The 14,572-nt window shown below is 45.6% G+C and overlaps 1 protein-coding gene and 1 long non-coding RNA gene across 7 annotated transcripts in view, besides 4 other annotated features; one reads left to right on the top strand and one right to left on the bottom strand.

Annotated features, from left to right (window-relative positions):
- KIF9-AS1 (KIF9 antisense RNA 1) overlaps positions 1-11,832 on the bottom strand; it is a 79,747-nt gene extending 67,915 nt beyond the window's left edge. The window contains exons 1-2 of the long non-coding RNA NR_033373.1: positions 11,605-11,832; positions 6,806-7,033 (exon numbers count right to left, since the gene is read on the bottom strand). This is a non-coding gene — a long non-coding RNA (KIF9 antisense RNA 1). The remainder of the gene's footprint in view (positions 1-6,805; positions 7,034-11,604) is intronic.
- Positions 393-452: an enhancer, noted in NCBI's record as "active region_19809". NCBI's record gives its function as "activates an Ori minimal core promoter by ATAC-STARR-seq in GM12878 lymphoblastoid cells {active_cell/tissue: GM12878}" and the evidence as "EXISTENCE:reporter gene assay evidence [ECO:0000049][PMID:35858748]".
- The window catches only part of SETD2 (SET domain containing 2, histone lysine methyltransferase), a 148,405-nt gene continuing 145,194 nt past the window's right edge, over positions 11,362-14,572 (top strand). For 3 of the 6 annotated variants that reach the window (XR_007095673.1, XM_024453487.2, XM_047448045.1), the window contains exon 1: positions 11,362-11,402. Coding sequence is in view for 1 of the 6 variants with exons in the window: in NM_014159.7 (NP_054878.5) it covers positions 12,278-12,348 (71 nt within the window). In the remaining 5 variants the exon portion in view is untranslated. Of the gene's footprint in view, positions 11,403-12,088; positions 12,349-14,572 lie in introns of those variants that run through there. The other 3 variants (NR_146158.3, NM_001349370.3, NM_014159.7) reach the window with 1 other exon arrangement.
- Positions 11,587-11,636: a silencer, noted in NCBI's record as "silent region_14307". NCBI's record gives its function as "represses an Ori minimal core promoter by ATAC-STARR-seq in GM12878 lymphoblastoid cells {active_cell/tissue: GM12878}" and the evidence as "EXISTENCE:reporter gene assay evidence [ECO:0000049][PMID:35858748]".
- Positions 11,687-12,436: a silencer, noted in NCBI's record as "silent region_14306". NCBI's record gives its function as "represses an Ori minimal core promoter by ATAC-STARR-seq in GM12878 lymphoblastoid cells {active_cell/tissue: GM12878}" and the evidence as "EXISTENCE:reporter gene assay evidence [ECO:0000049][PMID:35858748]".
- Positions 12,487-12,796: a silencer, noted in NCBI's record as "silent region_14305". NCBI's record gives its function as "represses an Ori minimal core promoter by ATAC-STARR-seq in GM12878 lymphoblastoid cells {active_cell/tissue: GM12878}" and the evidence as "EXISTENCE:reporter gene assay evidence [ECO:0000049][PMID:35858748]".

The raw sequence follows: 14,572 nt of genomic DNA, 5'->3' as shown, positions 1-14,572 counted from the left end.
GTCCCTAAAATGTTCTTTCAGTGAGGAATGCCCTGTAAGTCTGCTTTGTGTCCTAGGCAACAGTCCTGACATCTCTGCAGTCTCTAGTCACCTAGACCAGCTGAATGGTTCAGACAGAGTCATTGTCTCATCTCTTCAGGGTAATATAATTCACCCTCATGCACTCTTTGGTTTTGAAATAACAGGAATTGGTCACAAATGAAAAGACAAGTCTGAATTATAAGAAATAGAAAGCAGTTGCAATTTCAAAGGCATGCTAGGTAGTTTTAGGCTATAAGAAGTGAAACCACTTGTATTAGTTCTTTCTTACATTGCTATAAATAAATACCTGAGACTAGGTAATTTATAGACAAAAGAGGCTTATTTTGCTCACGGTACTGCAGGCTGTACAGGAAGGATGGCAGCATCTGTTTCTGAGAAGGTCTCAGGAGGCTTTTACTCATGGTGAAAGGCAAAGCAGGAGCCGGCATTTTATATGGCAGGAGCTAGACCAAGAGAGAGGGTGGGGAGGTGCTACACACTTTTAAACAACCAGATGTTGTGAGAACTCACAAGGGGGCATGGTACTAAGCAATTCATGAGAAACCATCCCCATAATCTAATCACCTCCTACCAGGCCCCACTTCTAACACTGGGGATTCGACATGAGATTTAGTGGGGACACAGACCCAAATCATATCATTCCACCCATGGCCCCACTAAATCTCATGTCCCTCTCACATTGCAAAATACAATTATGTGTTCCCAATAGTCCCTCAGAGTCTTAACTTATTCCAGCATTAACTCAGAAGTCCAAAGACTCATCTGAGACAAGGCTAGTCCCTTCTCCCACCTCAGCCTCCCGAGTAGCTGGGACCACAGGCGTGTGCCACCATGCCCAGCTAATTTTTGTATTTTTAGTAGAGATGGGGTTTCACCATGTTGGTCAGGCTGGTCTTGAACTCCTGATCTCAGGTGATCCACCCGCCTTGGCCTCCCAAACTGCTGGGATTACAGGTGTGAGCCACTGCACCTGGCCTGGTATTTTACGTTTAATGTATTGTTAGATTTATCAGGCGTGGTGGCTCATGCCTACAGATGTGATTACAATCCTAGCCTTTTGGGAAGCTGAAGTGGGTGGATCACTCGAGCCTAGGAGTTTGATACCACCCTGGGCAACATGGCAAAACGCCATCTCTACAAAAACAAAAACAAAAAGAAAAAAACAACCAACCAAATCAAACAAAACAAAACAAAAACTAGCTAGGCGTGGTGGCTTGTGCCTATAGTCCCAGCTACTCAGGAGGCCGAGGTGGGATTCCTTGATCCCAGGAGGCGGAGGTTACAGTGAACCATGAGACTCGCTCTGGCCTGGGTGACAGACCAAGACCCTGTCTCAAAAAAAAACAACAACAAAAAAACAAGGCCGGATGCAGTGGCTCACGCCTGTAATCCCAACACTTTGGGAGGATGAGGCGGGCGGATCACTTGAAGTCAGAAGTTTGAGACCAGCCTGTCCAACATGGTGAAACCCCGTTTCTACTAAAAATACAAAATTAGCCAGGCGTGGTGGGGCATGCCTGTAATCCCTGCTACTCGGGAGGCTGAGGCAGGAGAATCACTTGAACCCAGGAGGTGGAGGTTGCAGTGAGCCGAGATCATGCCATTGCAGTCCAGCCTGGGCAACAGGAGCAAAACTCCGTCTCAAAACAAACAAACAAATATAGATATATAGATAGATGTGGGGGTGGGGGAGACAGTTGGATTCAATTTGCTAAAATTGTGATTAAACATTTTGTATCTATGTTAATGAAGGACATTGGTATATAGTTTTTTTCTTATAGCATCATTTTTTTTTCTTTTTTTTGAAACAGTTTTATTTTGTCACCCAGGCTGGAGAGCCGTGGCGCCATCAGCTCACTGTAACCTCAAACTCCTGGGCTCAAGGGATCTTCCTACCTTAGTCTCCCAAGTTGTTGGAAAAATAGGTGCACACCACCACACCCAGTTATTTTTCCAAATTGGCTGTATAATTTTGCATTTCCATCAGCAATGTATGAGGGTTCCACTTGCTCCAAATCCTTGTCAATATTTGGTATTTTCAGTTTTTTTTTTTTTTGAAATGGAGTCTTGCTCTGTCACCCAGGCTGGAGTGGAGTGGCATGATCTCGGCTCACTGTGACCTGTTGTTGACCAAATACACACATTGAAAAATGTAATTCAAGAGTGGGATATCAGATTCTTGGCTTATAACTAATGATCAAGATTGTACAATGAGCAATAGTCAGATTATTCCTTTCAATGGTTCTTATGGCATCTAAATTACTGATTAATCCATCAATCAATCATAAATTGTGATTAAAATTATCAAATGAATTTTCAGCATTGAAAACTGTTGTGTGAAACATGTCTAACCAGAGAAGTAACATCCTATAAACACTACTTTAGCTAAATTGTTTTAAAGTATTATAAATAAAGTGAATTTCAGAGTAAAAATAAGGTACGTTTTCTGAGCAATAATCAATAAGTTAATCCATAATTTCTTAATTTGCAAATTTGTTTCTTATTTCAGGATTTGGAATATAGTGTGAGGGTTTTGTTTTGTTTTGTTTTGTTTTTTTTAAGACGGAATCTTACTCTGTTGCCCAGGCTGGAGTGCAGTGGTGTGATCTTGGCTCACTCAACCTCTGCCTCCTGGGTTCAAGTGATTCTTCTTCCTCAGCCTCCCGACTAGCTGGGATTACCAGCGCGTGCCATGCCCGGTTAATTTTTGTATTTTTAGTAGAGACAGGGTTTTGGCATGTTGGCCAGGCTGGTCTCAAACTCCTGACCTCAGATGATTCGCCTGCCTTGGCCTCCCAAAGTGGTGGGATTATGGGCGTGAGCCACTGCGCCCGGCCTAATTTCTTAATAGATATCTAAATACATATGCATATACTTATTATGTATTTATTTATTTTTTGAGACATGGTCTTGCTCTGTTGTCCAGACTGGAGTGCAGTGGCGCGATCTTGCCTCACTGCAGCCTCCATCTCCTGGGCTCAAGCAATCCGCCCACCTCAACCTCTTGAGTAGCTGGGACTATAGGTGTATGACCCTATACCCAGCTAATTTTTTATTTTTAGTAGAGATGAAGTCCTGTTATGTTGCCCAGGCTGGTGTCCAACTCCTGAGCTCAAGTGATCCTCCTACATCAGCCTCCCAAAGTTCTGGGATTACAGTTGTCAGCCACCATGTCTGGCAAACTCAATTCTTTTTAATGACAGTATAATACTCCTCTGTATGGATGTTCCAAAATATATTCACCCATTCCCTTATTTATGAGCATTCACTTCATTTCTCCCACCACAAATTATACCATTAATTTGTACATTTAGTCTATGTACGAGTGCTTTTATTTCCGTGAACCAAAATTTTAGAAATAGAATTTGCTGGGTCAAAGGACGCACACACATAGTTGTTACGGAATAATAAATAGATATAAATAACATTCATTACATCTAGTGTAGACAAAATAACAAAACAAATATCTGTCCACTTACTAACTAGTTTAAGAAATACAAATTTACCTGTGCTCTGAGGCCTCCTGGGTGTCCCCTATATAATCCCTTTTCCTGTTCAGAAAGGAAAACCAAACCAAACCAAAACTATCCTAAAATTTTTCTTTACCTTTCTCTTGGTTATAGTTTTACCATATTTCTCAACACCATCTGTTGTTTAATTTTGACTCTTAAAACTTTACATAAATGGAAAAACATTCTATGCCTTTTATTTCCTGTTCATTATTATGTCCCCAAGACTTTACCATTTTGGTAGGCATAGCTGAAAATTTCAGTTATGGCCAGGCTTGGTGGCACATGCTTGTAATCCCAATGCTTTGGGACACCAGTGTGGGAAGATCACTTGAGGCCAGGAGTTCAAGACCAACCTGGGCAACATAGCGAGACCCTGTTTCTAAAAAAACTAAAAAACAATTATACATCAGCACCATAAGACAGGGGAAAAAAAAATCCAGGCATGGTGGAGTACACCTGTGGTCCCAGCTACTTGGGTGACTGAGGTGGGAAGATCGCTTGAGCCCAAGTGTTTGAGGTGATACTCCTGCCTCAGCAACAAATGCAAAACCCTGCCTTTTAAGCTGTTTAATAGTAGTTCATTATATATACTATAGTTGATAGACATTTGCCCATTTGCCAATACTGCTACAGACATTCCTAGACATGTCTTTTGGTGTATATTTGCAAGAGTTTTAATTTGTATATCTAAGAACAATTGTTGGGTTTTAAGATATGCCCATATGCAACTCTACTAGGTAATGCCAACCAACTTGTTTTCCAAAATGATTGTATCAATTAACACTCTGACCAGCACCCTGATTTCCCTGAAACAGCTTTTCAAATGTTTCCTGGACATTAATTTTTCCTCTTCTGAGGTATTTACCAATTTAAAAAGCTGGGTTGTCTTTCTCTTATTCACTTACATTAGTTCTATATATATCCTAGATCAGTGCTGTCCAAGAGAAATAAAATGGAAGTCACAAATGTGATTTTAAATTTTCTAGAAGCCACATAAAGAGGTGAAATGGTTTTTTGTTGAGACAGGATCTTGCTCTGTTGCCCAGGCTGGAGCGCAGTGGCATAATCTCAGCTCACTGCAAACTCTGCCTCCCAGGTTCAAGCGATTCTCATGCTTCAGCCTCCCAAATAGCTGGGACTACAGGTGCATGCAACCATGCCTAGCTAATTTTTGTATTTTTAGTAGAGAAGGGGTTTCACCATGCTGGCCAGGCTGATCTCGAACTCCTGACTTCAAGTAATCCGCCCACCTCAGCCTCCCAAAGTGCTAGGATTATAGGTGTGAGACACCATGCCTGGCCTTTTTTTTTTAAAAGAGACAGTCTTGCTTTGTGATCTAGGCTGGTGTACAGTGGCAAGATCATTGCTCACCGTAACTTTGAACTCCTGGGCTCAAGAGATCCTCCCACTTCAGCCTCCTGACTAGCTGGGACCACAGGCATGTGCCATGATGTCTGGCTAATTTTTTTGAGATGGAGTCTTGCTCTGGCTGGAGTGCAGTGGCGTGATCTCGGCTCACTGCAACCTCCGTCTCCTGAGTTCAAGTGATTCTCCTGCCTCAACCTCCTAAGTAGCTGGGATTACAGGCACATGCCAGCATGCCCGGGTAATTTTTGTATTTTTAGTAGAGATGGGGTTTTGCCATGTTGGGCAGGCTGGTCTTGAACTCTTGACCTCAGGTGATCTGCCCATCTCAGCCTCCCAAAGTGCTAGGATTACAGGTGTGAGCCACCGCACCCAGCCAATTTTTTTGTATTTTAGGTAGAGATGGGGTTTCATCATGTTGTCCAGGGTGGTCTTGAGCCCCTTAGTTAAAGCAATTCACCTGCCTGAGCCTCCCAAAGTGCTGGGATTACAGGCGTGAGCCACCATACCTGGCCTAAGTTTTATTTTCTTGTCCATTTTGCACTCTTTAAAACTGAAATGTATTCCCCCTGCCTCAGCCTCCCAAGTAGCTGGGACTATAGGTGTGCACCACCACAGCTGGCTAATCTCTTTTGTTTTTTGTAGAGCTGGGAGGGAGTCTGGCTATGTTGCACAGGCTGGTCTTAAACTCCTGGTCTCAAGCAATCCTTCCGCCTCAGCATCTCAAAGTGCTGGGATTACAGGCGTGAGCCACCATGCTCGGCCTTTTTTTTTGTATTTTTCTTTATTCTATTTTCTTCTGTTAATTTGGAAAAGCAGTTACCCTACATATTTTATCTTATACACTTAAAAGAGTAAAGGTTAAAGTTAATCAATATTTTTACCCACTTCCCAAACAATACCAGGACCTTGGAAAACTTCAACTCCAACCATCACTCCACTCATCCTGCTTCTAAATATATGACTTTGTTGTCCAGAGTATCAGTTCCATCTTGCTTTACCTTATTAACCACACAAATTACTTACTATTACTTTGTATGGTAAAAAGTTTTTAGTTTTAACCACTTATTTACTAATATTTTTATCATTCCTTCTTGTATAAGGGATCATTTCTTTCTTTTTTATAAAATTATTTACTATGTAAAATTAAAAAAATTTTTTTTCAGCACCTGACACTCCCAGTGTGGGCTGAGATGCTGAGGCTAGGATCATTTCTTGTTGGTGGCAAACTCCAGATTTTTTTGTCTGAAAATGTCTTGAAACAGATAACCTGGCTGAAATCCTGGTTTTATCATTTCTTAGTCATGTGACTCTAGATATGCACCATAACCTCTGGAATCATTGGTTTATTCATCTGCAAAACTGGTAATCTTGAGTACATTCATTCTCTGCTGGGTAAGACAAGTTTGGGAGGGAAGATGCACTGAGAAGCTCCTGAGCAGATGAGTTCTCTAGAAGAACGCCAAGATCCAAAGCAAAACAGAATAAAAGATACACCATAATCACCTCTCTGAATGTTTGAAAACTGTAGGGAGGCTGGGCGCCGTGGCTCATGCCTGTAATCCCAGCACTTTGGGAGGCTGAGGCGGGTGGATCACAAGGTCAGGAGTTCAAGACCAGCCTGGCCAAGATGGTGAAACCCCGTCTCTACTAAAGATACAAAAAATTAGCTGGGTATGGTGGCGCGCGTCTGTAATCCCAGCTACTCAGGAGGCTGAGGCAGGAGAATCGCTTGAACCCAGGCAGTAGAGGTTGCAGTGAGCTGAGATTGTGCCACCGCACTCCAGCCTGGGCGACAGAGTGAGATTCCATCTCAAAAAAAAAAAAAAAAGAAAAAGAAAATTGTAGGGAAGACAAGGTTAACACATATTGAAAAAAAAAATTACCTAATAACAATATTCCTGTATACTTGAGAGTTACAGTGCATGGTTCTTTTTAGTCAGTCTTTTCAAATCCAGTGAAATAGCTGCTTGTAGGAGTTTACAAAAGAGACTTTACAGAAGAGAGTGCCTGACTGGAAGTAATCAACTTGTTAGCCAACTCCAACAATCTATTTTTAACAGAAAAATCCAATGTGAACACTAAGAAAAAGAATTGGTATTCCATGGATGAGCCTGAAAAAAAAAGAAAAAGGAATTGGTAAAAAGGAAAAGTATTAATCAAAAAGTAAGCTTTTCAGAAGTAACAAAGTAGTTATTCATTCAACACTTGCTACCTACAGCCTCAAACACTATAAAATAGGAAAGACAGATTGCTTCTGCCTACAACAAACTTATAAAGTTGGTAAGATAGATATATTATGTAATTAAAATCTGTTAACAAAGCAATATGTAACAGAAAGATTATCTGTATAGGAAAAACAACTACAGAGTATAATAATACTATGTAGGAGGGTGCTGACTTGATACAAATAACATCTAATAGGAATTATAGGAGGTGGAGCTCAATGTAGGTTGTGCATTGTTTTCTAGATTCTTCTTGCCTTGTGTTGGGATGTGCAGAATGAATAGGAATAAAAATAAGTTGTAATTAGGCTGGGTGCGGTAGCTCATGCCTGTAATCCCAGTACTTTGGGACGCCAAGGTGGGTGGGTCACAAGGTCAGGAGATCGAGACCATCCTGGCTAACACGGTGAAACCCCATCTCTACTAAATATCCAAAAAATTAGCCGGGCATGGTGGCGGGTGCCTGTGGTCCCAGCTACTTGGGAGGCTGAGGCAGGAGAATGGCATGAACCCGGGAGGCGGAGCTTGCAGTGAGCTGAGATCGCACCACTGCACTCCAGCCTGGGCGACAGAGCGAGACTCCATCTCAAAAAAAAAAAAAAAAAAAAAAAAAAAAAGTTGTAATTACAGTAGTCCCCACCTTATCTACAAGGGATAGGTCCCAAGACCCCTGGTGGATGCCTGGAACCCTAAATATACTTTGTTTTTTCCTATACATACATACTTATGATGTTTAATTTATAAATTAGGCACACTAAGAGATTAACAGTAGTTAATAAAACAGTTATAACAATATAACAAAACTTATGTGAATGAGTAATTTATTCTAAATTATGCTGCCTTTATTCTGTATACTGACTAAATCTAAATCTTCAATTGTATTGAGCCTCATATATCTACCTAAATTTATAAGGTAGCCAATTTTTTGTTGTATGGCTATTAGTTTACAGGCATTAGGTACTTTGTCAGACATTATCTCATTTCCCGCTCCCCAAAATGCTAAGATGTTGATAGTAAATGTTTCTGTGCTACAGAGGAGAAAATACATATTTATTTATTTTATTCATTTTTTTTGTTTGAGACTGAGTCTCACTCTTGTTGCCCAGGCTGGAGTGCAGTGATGCGATCTCTGTTCACTGCAACTTCCACCCCCCACCCCGGGCTCAAGCAATTCTCCTGCCTCAGCCTCCCGAGTAGCTGGGATTATAGGCGTGCGCCACCATGCCTAGCTAATTTTTGTATTTTTAGTAGAGATGGGGTTTCACCGTATTGGCCAGGCTGGTCTTGAACTCCTGACCTCAAGTGATCTGCCTTCCTCGGCCTCCCAAAGTGCTGGGATTATAGGCATGAGCCACTGTGCCCGACCTACATTTCTTTTTTTTTTTGAGATGGAGTTTTGCTGTTGTTGCCTAGGCTGGGGTGCAGTGGCGCGATCTTAGCTCATCATCGCAACCTCCGCCTCCCAGAGTTCAAGCGATTCTTCTGCCTCATCCTCCAGAGTAGCTGGGATTACAGGCATGTGCCACCACATCCGGCTAATTTTGTATTTTTAGTAGAGACCAGGTTTCTCCATGTTGGTCAGACTGGTCTCGAACTCCTGACTTCAGGTGATTCGCCTGCCTTGGCCTCTCAAAGTACTGGGATTACAGGCGTCAGCCACCGCACCCGGTCTACATTTCTTCTTTCTACTACCCTTACCAGGTACCCGAAGCCTACCTGTGGAGAGTAGGCTTTTGGCCTTTGTCTTCCCTAAGGCAAGAGATGATTTTGTTTCAGGGTCACTACTGGCAACCCTGGAATCTCCTGGGATAGGGTTGGTCTTGACCCACAGGAGACAGTAACAGTAGGAGAAAGTATAAATATATATATATTTTTTTGAGATGAGTTTCGCTCTTGTTGCCCAGGCTGGTGTGGAATGGCATGATCTCGGCTCACTGCAACCTCCGCCTCCCAGGTTCAAGTGATTCTCCTGCCTCAGCCTCCCTAGTAGCTGGTATTAGACATGTGCCACCACGCCGGGCTAATTTTTGTATTTTTAGTAGAGACCGGGTTTCTCCATGTTGGTTAGGCTGGTCTTGAACTCCCAGCCTCAGGTGACCCACCTGCCTCAGCCTCCCAAAGTGATGGGATTACAGGCATGATCCCATCACACCCAGCTGAAATTATAAAGGCTTTTACGATTTTAGCACTCTGGGAGTGAATGCCTCAAATATTTCATGCTAGGGCTTTTTAGACATTTTTCCTTTAAACATGTGCAGAAAGTAGGGGATGGTCAGTATTTAATAACATGAAAAACCAAATTATTCCACAGCTTTGATCAGGAGGCCAGGCCCAAGTACGTGCTCCAAGCATGCATTCTCTTTGACTTAAAAATATGAGTCCAAAGAACTCTGAGTGCAGTTATAGATGAAGGCACTGCCTGTAAAAACCCAGTTCATTTGTTTCTGTTTGGGGCTTAGAATTCTCACTGATTCCCATGGCTTGACAAGCTTATTGCACTGGGTTCTGACCAAACCAATGCTATCATGAGACCAGGCATTCCAGTGCCCAGCTGTACCTCCTGCAAGAGAATTGCTTACTTTCTTATTAAGGAAATAGGAAACCTGCACCTGACTGCTTTTTTCTCATTCACCTCAGCTTAGGTCCTTACCACCTCACATTGTTTCAACCACCTCCACCTAAAATTGTCCTTTCCTGCCTGTCCAAGGTCAAGTGACTCCCAATTGCCTATGTGGCATCTAAGGCACAGGGCCTCAATCTATTCTTTCAAAGCCCAAAAGATAACACTTACTGGGCACTTACTCAATGAAAGGCACTGTGCAAGCATGTTCACAACATTCTCTGCACAGTGGCTAATACCCCATTTACAGGTGAGGCACGGGAAGCATAAGAAGCAAGCATCCCAATGTCACAGGGCTAGAAAGTGCCTGGTACACAATGCCAGGTAGAGCTACCTCTTAAACTCTGCACTATCATGGCTGAAGAATGCTGACGTTTACTGAAAGTTTAAGCCTTTAACAAATAGCTCATTTAATCCTCACAATAATGAGAAGACCTGTCGGCAGCAATATTCTCATTTTATAATGAGAAAAACCACAGGGAAATTAGTAATAATCACGGTGTGTAAAAAAATGGCCTTGGGAGATTCGAACCTAGGGAGTCAGATGGACCCTGGACCTCCATGCTAACCCTAAAGGTACCAGGAAAAAAAAAAACAAAAGCCAAAATAATCCCTAAGTGAAAAACAATGATTATAAAACACTAATAGACACTGTAGCCTACATACATATAAAGGCTATTTTAAAAAGTTAACCACTGAAGGATGTTTATTCTTTCGTATCATATTTCAGTTTTTTTTTGTTGTTGTTGTTTTATTTTTTTGAGACGGAGTCTCGCTATATCGCCCAGGCTGGAGTGCAATGGTGCGATCTGGGCTCACTACAACCTCCGCCTCCTGGGTTCAAGCGATTCTCCTGCCTCAGCCTCCCGAGTAGCTGGGATTACAGGCGCACCACCACGCCCAGCTAATTTATTTTTTATTTTCATTCATTTATTTATTTTTTTGAGATGGAGTCTTGCTCTGTCGCCAGGCTGGAGTGCAGTGGCACAATCTGGGCTTACTGCAACCTCCGCCTCCTGGGTTCAAGCGATTCTCCTGCTTCAGCCTCCCGCGTACCTGGAATTACAGCCGTGCGCCACCACGCCCGGCTAAATTTTGTATTTTTAGTAGAGATGGGGTTTCGCCATGTTGGCCAGTGTGGTCTGGAACTCTTGACCTCAGTTACTCCGCCCGCCTCGGCCTCCTAAAGTGCTGGGATTACAGGCGTGAACCACCGCGCCCGGCCCACTTTCAGTTTTTAACCACTGTTTCTCAATTGGAAGACACATCCTTTCCTTTCCGTTACCAATTGCTGGTAAAATCCGATTCAAAATTCTAGTGGAAAAACAACAGCAACAACAACACAAAAAACGCTAACCCTATGAACCCCCAATGTCAAAATGATCTATCGCCAAAAACTCTTCAGCGTCTAGAAAGTTTAGCTATTGGATTTACGCGTTCCTATCTCTCCTTCCAAAAATAACAACTCGTAGCTCTTTCAAGTTATTCTACTTAGTCTCATCTTATCATTTCTGTAGGAAAGTGATTAATACCCTTTTTTTCATGACATTGCCTCTAAGGCCCCAAGAACCACACAGGAGAGGGGAGCTGCCGCCTTGGAGACTTCGGGTGGGGGCAGAGCGCCGCGCCGAGGTGGAGGTAGGAGCCCCGAGGGCACAGCGGGAAGGAAGGCGGAGGAGGCTGCCGGGAGCTCGGCCTCCGAGCAATCCCCCGCCTCGCTGGGCTTCCATGCTTGCTAAAGGGTCGAGATGAACGGGCAAGGGAGAGAGAGGGCGAGGAAAAATAAAAAAGAGAGGGGCGAGTGGGACGAGGGGCCCGGGAGCAGCCGCGGCCGCGTTACCTCAGAGCCCAGAGGCCTGGGGGAGGGGCCCTCGGCGCTGCCGCGGACTCCGGGGCTCCCGGCGGGCAGGTCCTGCAGGGCCGCGGAGCGAGAAGGCTGATGTCTCGGGTGTCTCGGGGAGTTCTCCCGACGTCGCCTGCTGTTTGTCAGTCGCCAGCTGTGACACGGTAGCGGGCCGGGTCACGCTGCCCCCGGCCGCCAGGCGGGTTGCGGGAGGGGTCGCGGTGCCGCCTCTCCAGGTCCGGTCTGGCCCACATCACTGGGGCCGGGGGTTTATTGTTCCGGAGAGCCACAGGCACGGTCGGCCTGGACCCGCCGGGCAGTGTTCCGCTCTGCCCGTCCCGGCCTGGGGTCAAGCCAACAGCTGCAAGGCACGCCGACTGGCGGCAGATCGGTGGCCCGTGTGTGTCTCTTTAAGGGGCCGGGCCTGCGAAGCTGAGGGGCGGGTGGGGTGTGCGTCGCTCCCGGTGTGAGGGTGAGAGGGAGAGAGCGGCTGGCGGGCGTCCGAGGGAGGGAGGGAGCGACGAGCGAGGTAGCGACGCGGGCCGCCCCTGCCGCCGCCGCCGCCGCCGCCGCCGCCGCCGCGGTCGGACCTGCGGCCTCCTCCCCTCCCCTCCCCCGCGTCGCCCTGCTGCGGGGAGGGGGCTCGCGTCGCCGTCTCCAGCCGCTCCCGATGAAGCAGCTGCAGCCGCAGCCGCCTCCGAAGATGGGGGATTTCTACGACCCGGAGCACCCGACCCCTGAGTAAGTATCAGCTCCGCGGCCCCCCGCTGCTGTCGGCCGCCTTATCCCCAGCCGAGGGCGGCGCGTCCTGACGGGTGGCGGCGCGGGCCGGCGCGAGGAGTAACAGGCCCACGGTGGCCTCGCGCGGTCGGTGTCGGGAGCAGGCCCGCGCCGCCACTTCGAGCCGCTTGGCCGGGGCCGCAGCAGGCCCGCGGTTGGGCCCGGCGTTGGCGCCGCTGCTCGTGTCGCGGCGGCGGTTGGGCCGGGCCGGTGGGGGAGGGGCGGCCACGGTCCCTACGGTTACCGCCGTGTCCGCACCGACCCGGCCATCCCGGGGCTCGGCGGTCCTCTCGGGCTCCTCGTGGCTCGTCCGGGCCCCGCTGCTAGCCAAAGGGCAGAGTCGGAGGAGCTGCCGGTGCCGGGCCCGGCAAGAGGGCGCCGGTGAGGGTAGGCCGCGAATCCCCGGGCTCGGGTGGAAGCTCGACCCGTCGCCCGACCTCCCCGCGACGGCGGCGCCTCGGACCGGAAGGGCCTAGCGCGGGTTGCCTGGCCCCCGGGCCGTGGAGGGGCCCGCGCTGCACTCCTGAGTTTGATTTTTTCCTCCTGGGAACTCGATCCTGGCCTTGCAGTGCTTCCGGATTCACATTGTGCACCTTTGGCACTTGGGTTTTGTAATGGCGAGGTTTGTGTGGTCCCGTTGTTGAGGTGACACCGGGTTTGTTTTTCCGCTTGAAAATGAAAGCCTCCTGAGGGACATACATTTTCTTGCAGGTTGTGAGATTTTCACACTTTCGGACACAATTTTCTTGGTAACAGGAATCTCTTACCCTAAACGGATGACTTTCTATTTCTTGTGAAGACTTGGTTAAAAACCAAGAATCGTTTGAGGATTCTCTAAAGAAGACAATGTTGTGGAAAACCGACACACAGTTTTGCCCAATAGTAATTTTTCAGTCTAGGACACCTTTACATTTCTCTTGAGGTCTGAATCTGCTGCTGTATCTGCTATCTCAGAAAGCCTGGAGTCACTTCTTTCCCTGAACCCTCACGAGACCATTGTTTTGAAAAGCCGTTCTTAAACACCGTTTGCTGGTGTTAGACCTAGGAATATACTATTGATTTAAAACTTATCGGTTGATAGGGGTTTCACATGAAACTGTCAAACTTTTATGACCAGGATGATTCCAAGAGCTTTGCTGTTTTGACACATTTTACCTTAGGTTTGCTCTGGCTCGTTTTTGAATCCCTTGCCACATCTTCTCACATTGGTCCAGAAATGTCTGGATCTTAATTGATAGTTTTGATTGCAACACAAACGGATTCTGTTGAGGTGTTGGTCATTTCTGCACAACAAGATAAATCATTATTTTGCTTTTCTAAAAACCCAACTCTTACTTGCAATAGTAAGTTAACATGGCTTTTTCCTTTCATGGGTTCTTGGCCATTGGTTAACATTACCTTAATTAGATTGGTCTTTTTGTTTTGCTACTGGCAGGGTCAGTTAGGTAAGATTGTTTTGATTTACTGCACCATCAGTCCAATTACAAAGCTCATGTTATAGGTTTTTAGTTTGAAAAACCTCAAAAAAAATTTTATATCACGATTCAATAAATGCTTATATAGCACTTGCTCTGTACAAAGTAACATGCTAACCCCTGAATAGGCTAAGTGCCTGCTTTCACTTCCTTTTACCAGGTTGTTTGGTGAAGTCCGGAAGCTTTAAGGATCACATCCTTACACTTCTTGGGGAAAAACAATTTTTCATAATATGTGGGAAAATGGACTCAGAAGTGCATCTTTGGTAGACCTGAGTGGGGAAGGAATCAAGAATGTTTTATGGTTTTACATGTTTTGGAGTTTTTATTTTTATTGCTTTAATGTAGTAGAAATCCACTGCTTTGGATTTCTAACAGTGATTATATATTTTTAAATTCTCGTGTATTTTTTCCTTTTTTTTTTTTTTAGAGGCAGGGTCCCACTCTGTCACCCAGGCTGGAGTGCAGTGGTGTCATCATGGCTCATTGCATCCTTGAACCTCTGGGCTTAAGCAGTCCTCCTGCCTCAGCCTCCTGGGTTGGGACTATAGGCATGTGTCACCACACCCAGCTAATTAAAAAAAAATAAATTACGTTACTGGTTTTGAATCCCTGGCCTCAAGTGAGCCTCCTGCCTTGGCCTCCCAAAGTGCTGGGATTGCAGGCATGAGCCATTGTGCCAGGCCTCTTCTTGTGTATTAACCTGTATG

The sequence above is a fragment of the Homo sapiens genome, chromosome 3 (assembly GCF_000001405.40).
Source record: "Homo sapiens chromosome 3, GRCh38.p14 Primary Assembly".
In the NCBI taxonomy this organism is placed as follows: Eukaryota; Metazoa; Chordata; class Mammalia; order Primates; family Hominidae; genus Homo; species Homo sapiens.
The sequence above is the reverse complement of the archived record's forward strand: the minus strand, read 5'-3'. Positions and strand labels throughout refer to the sequence as shown.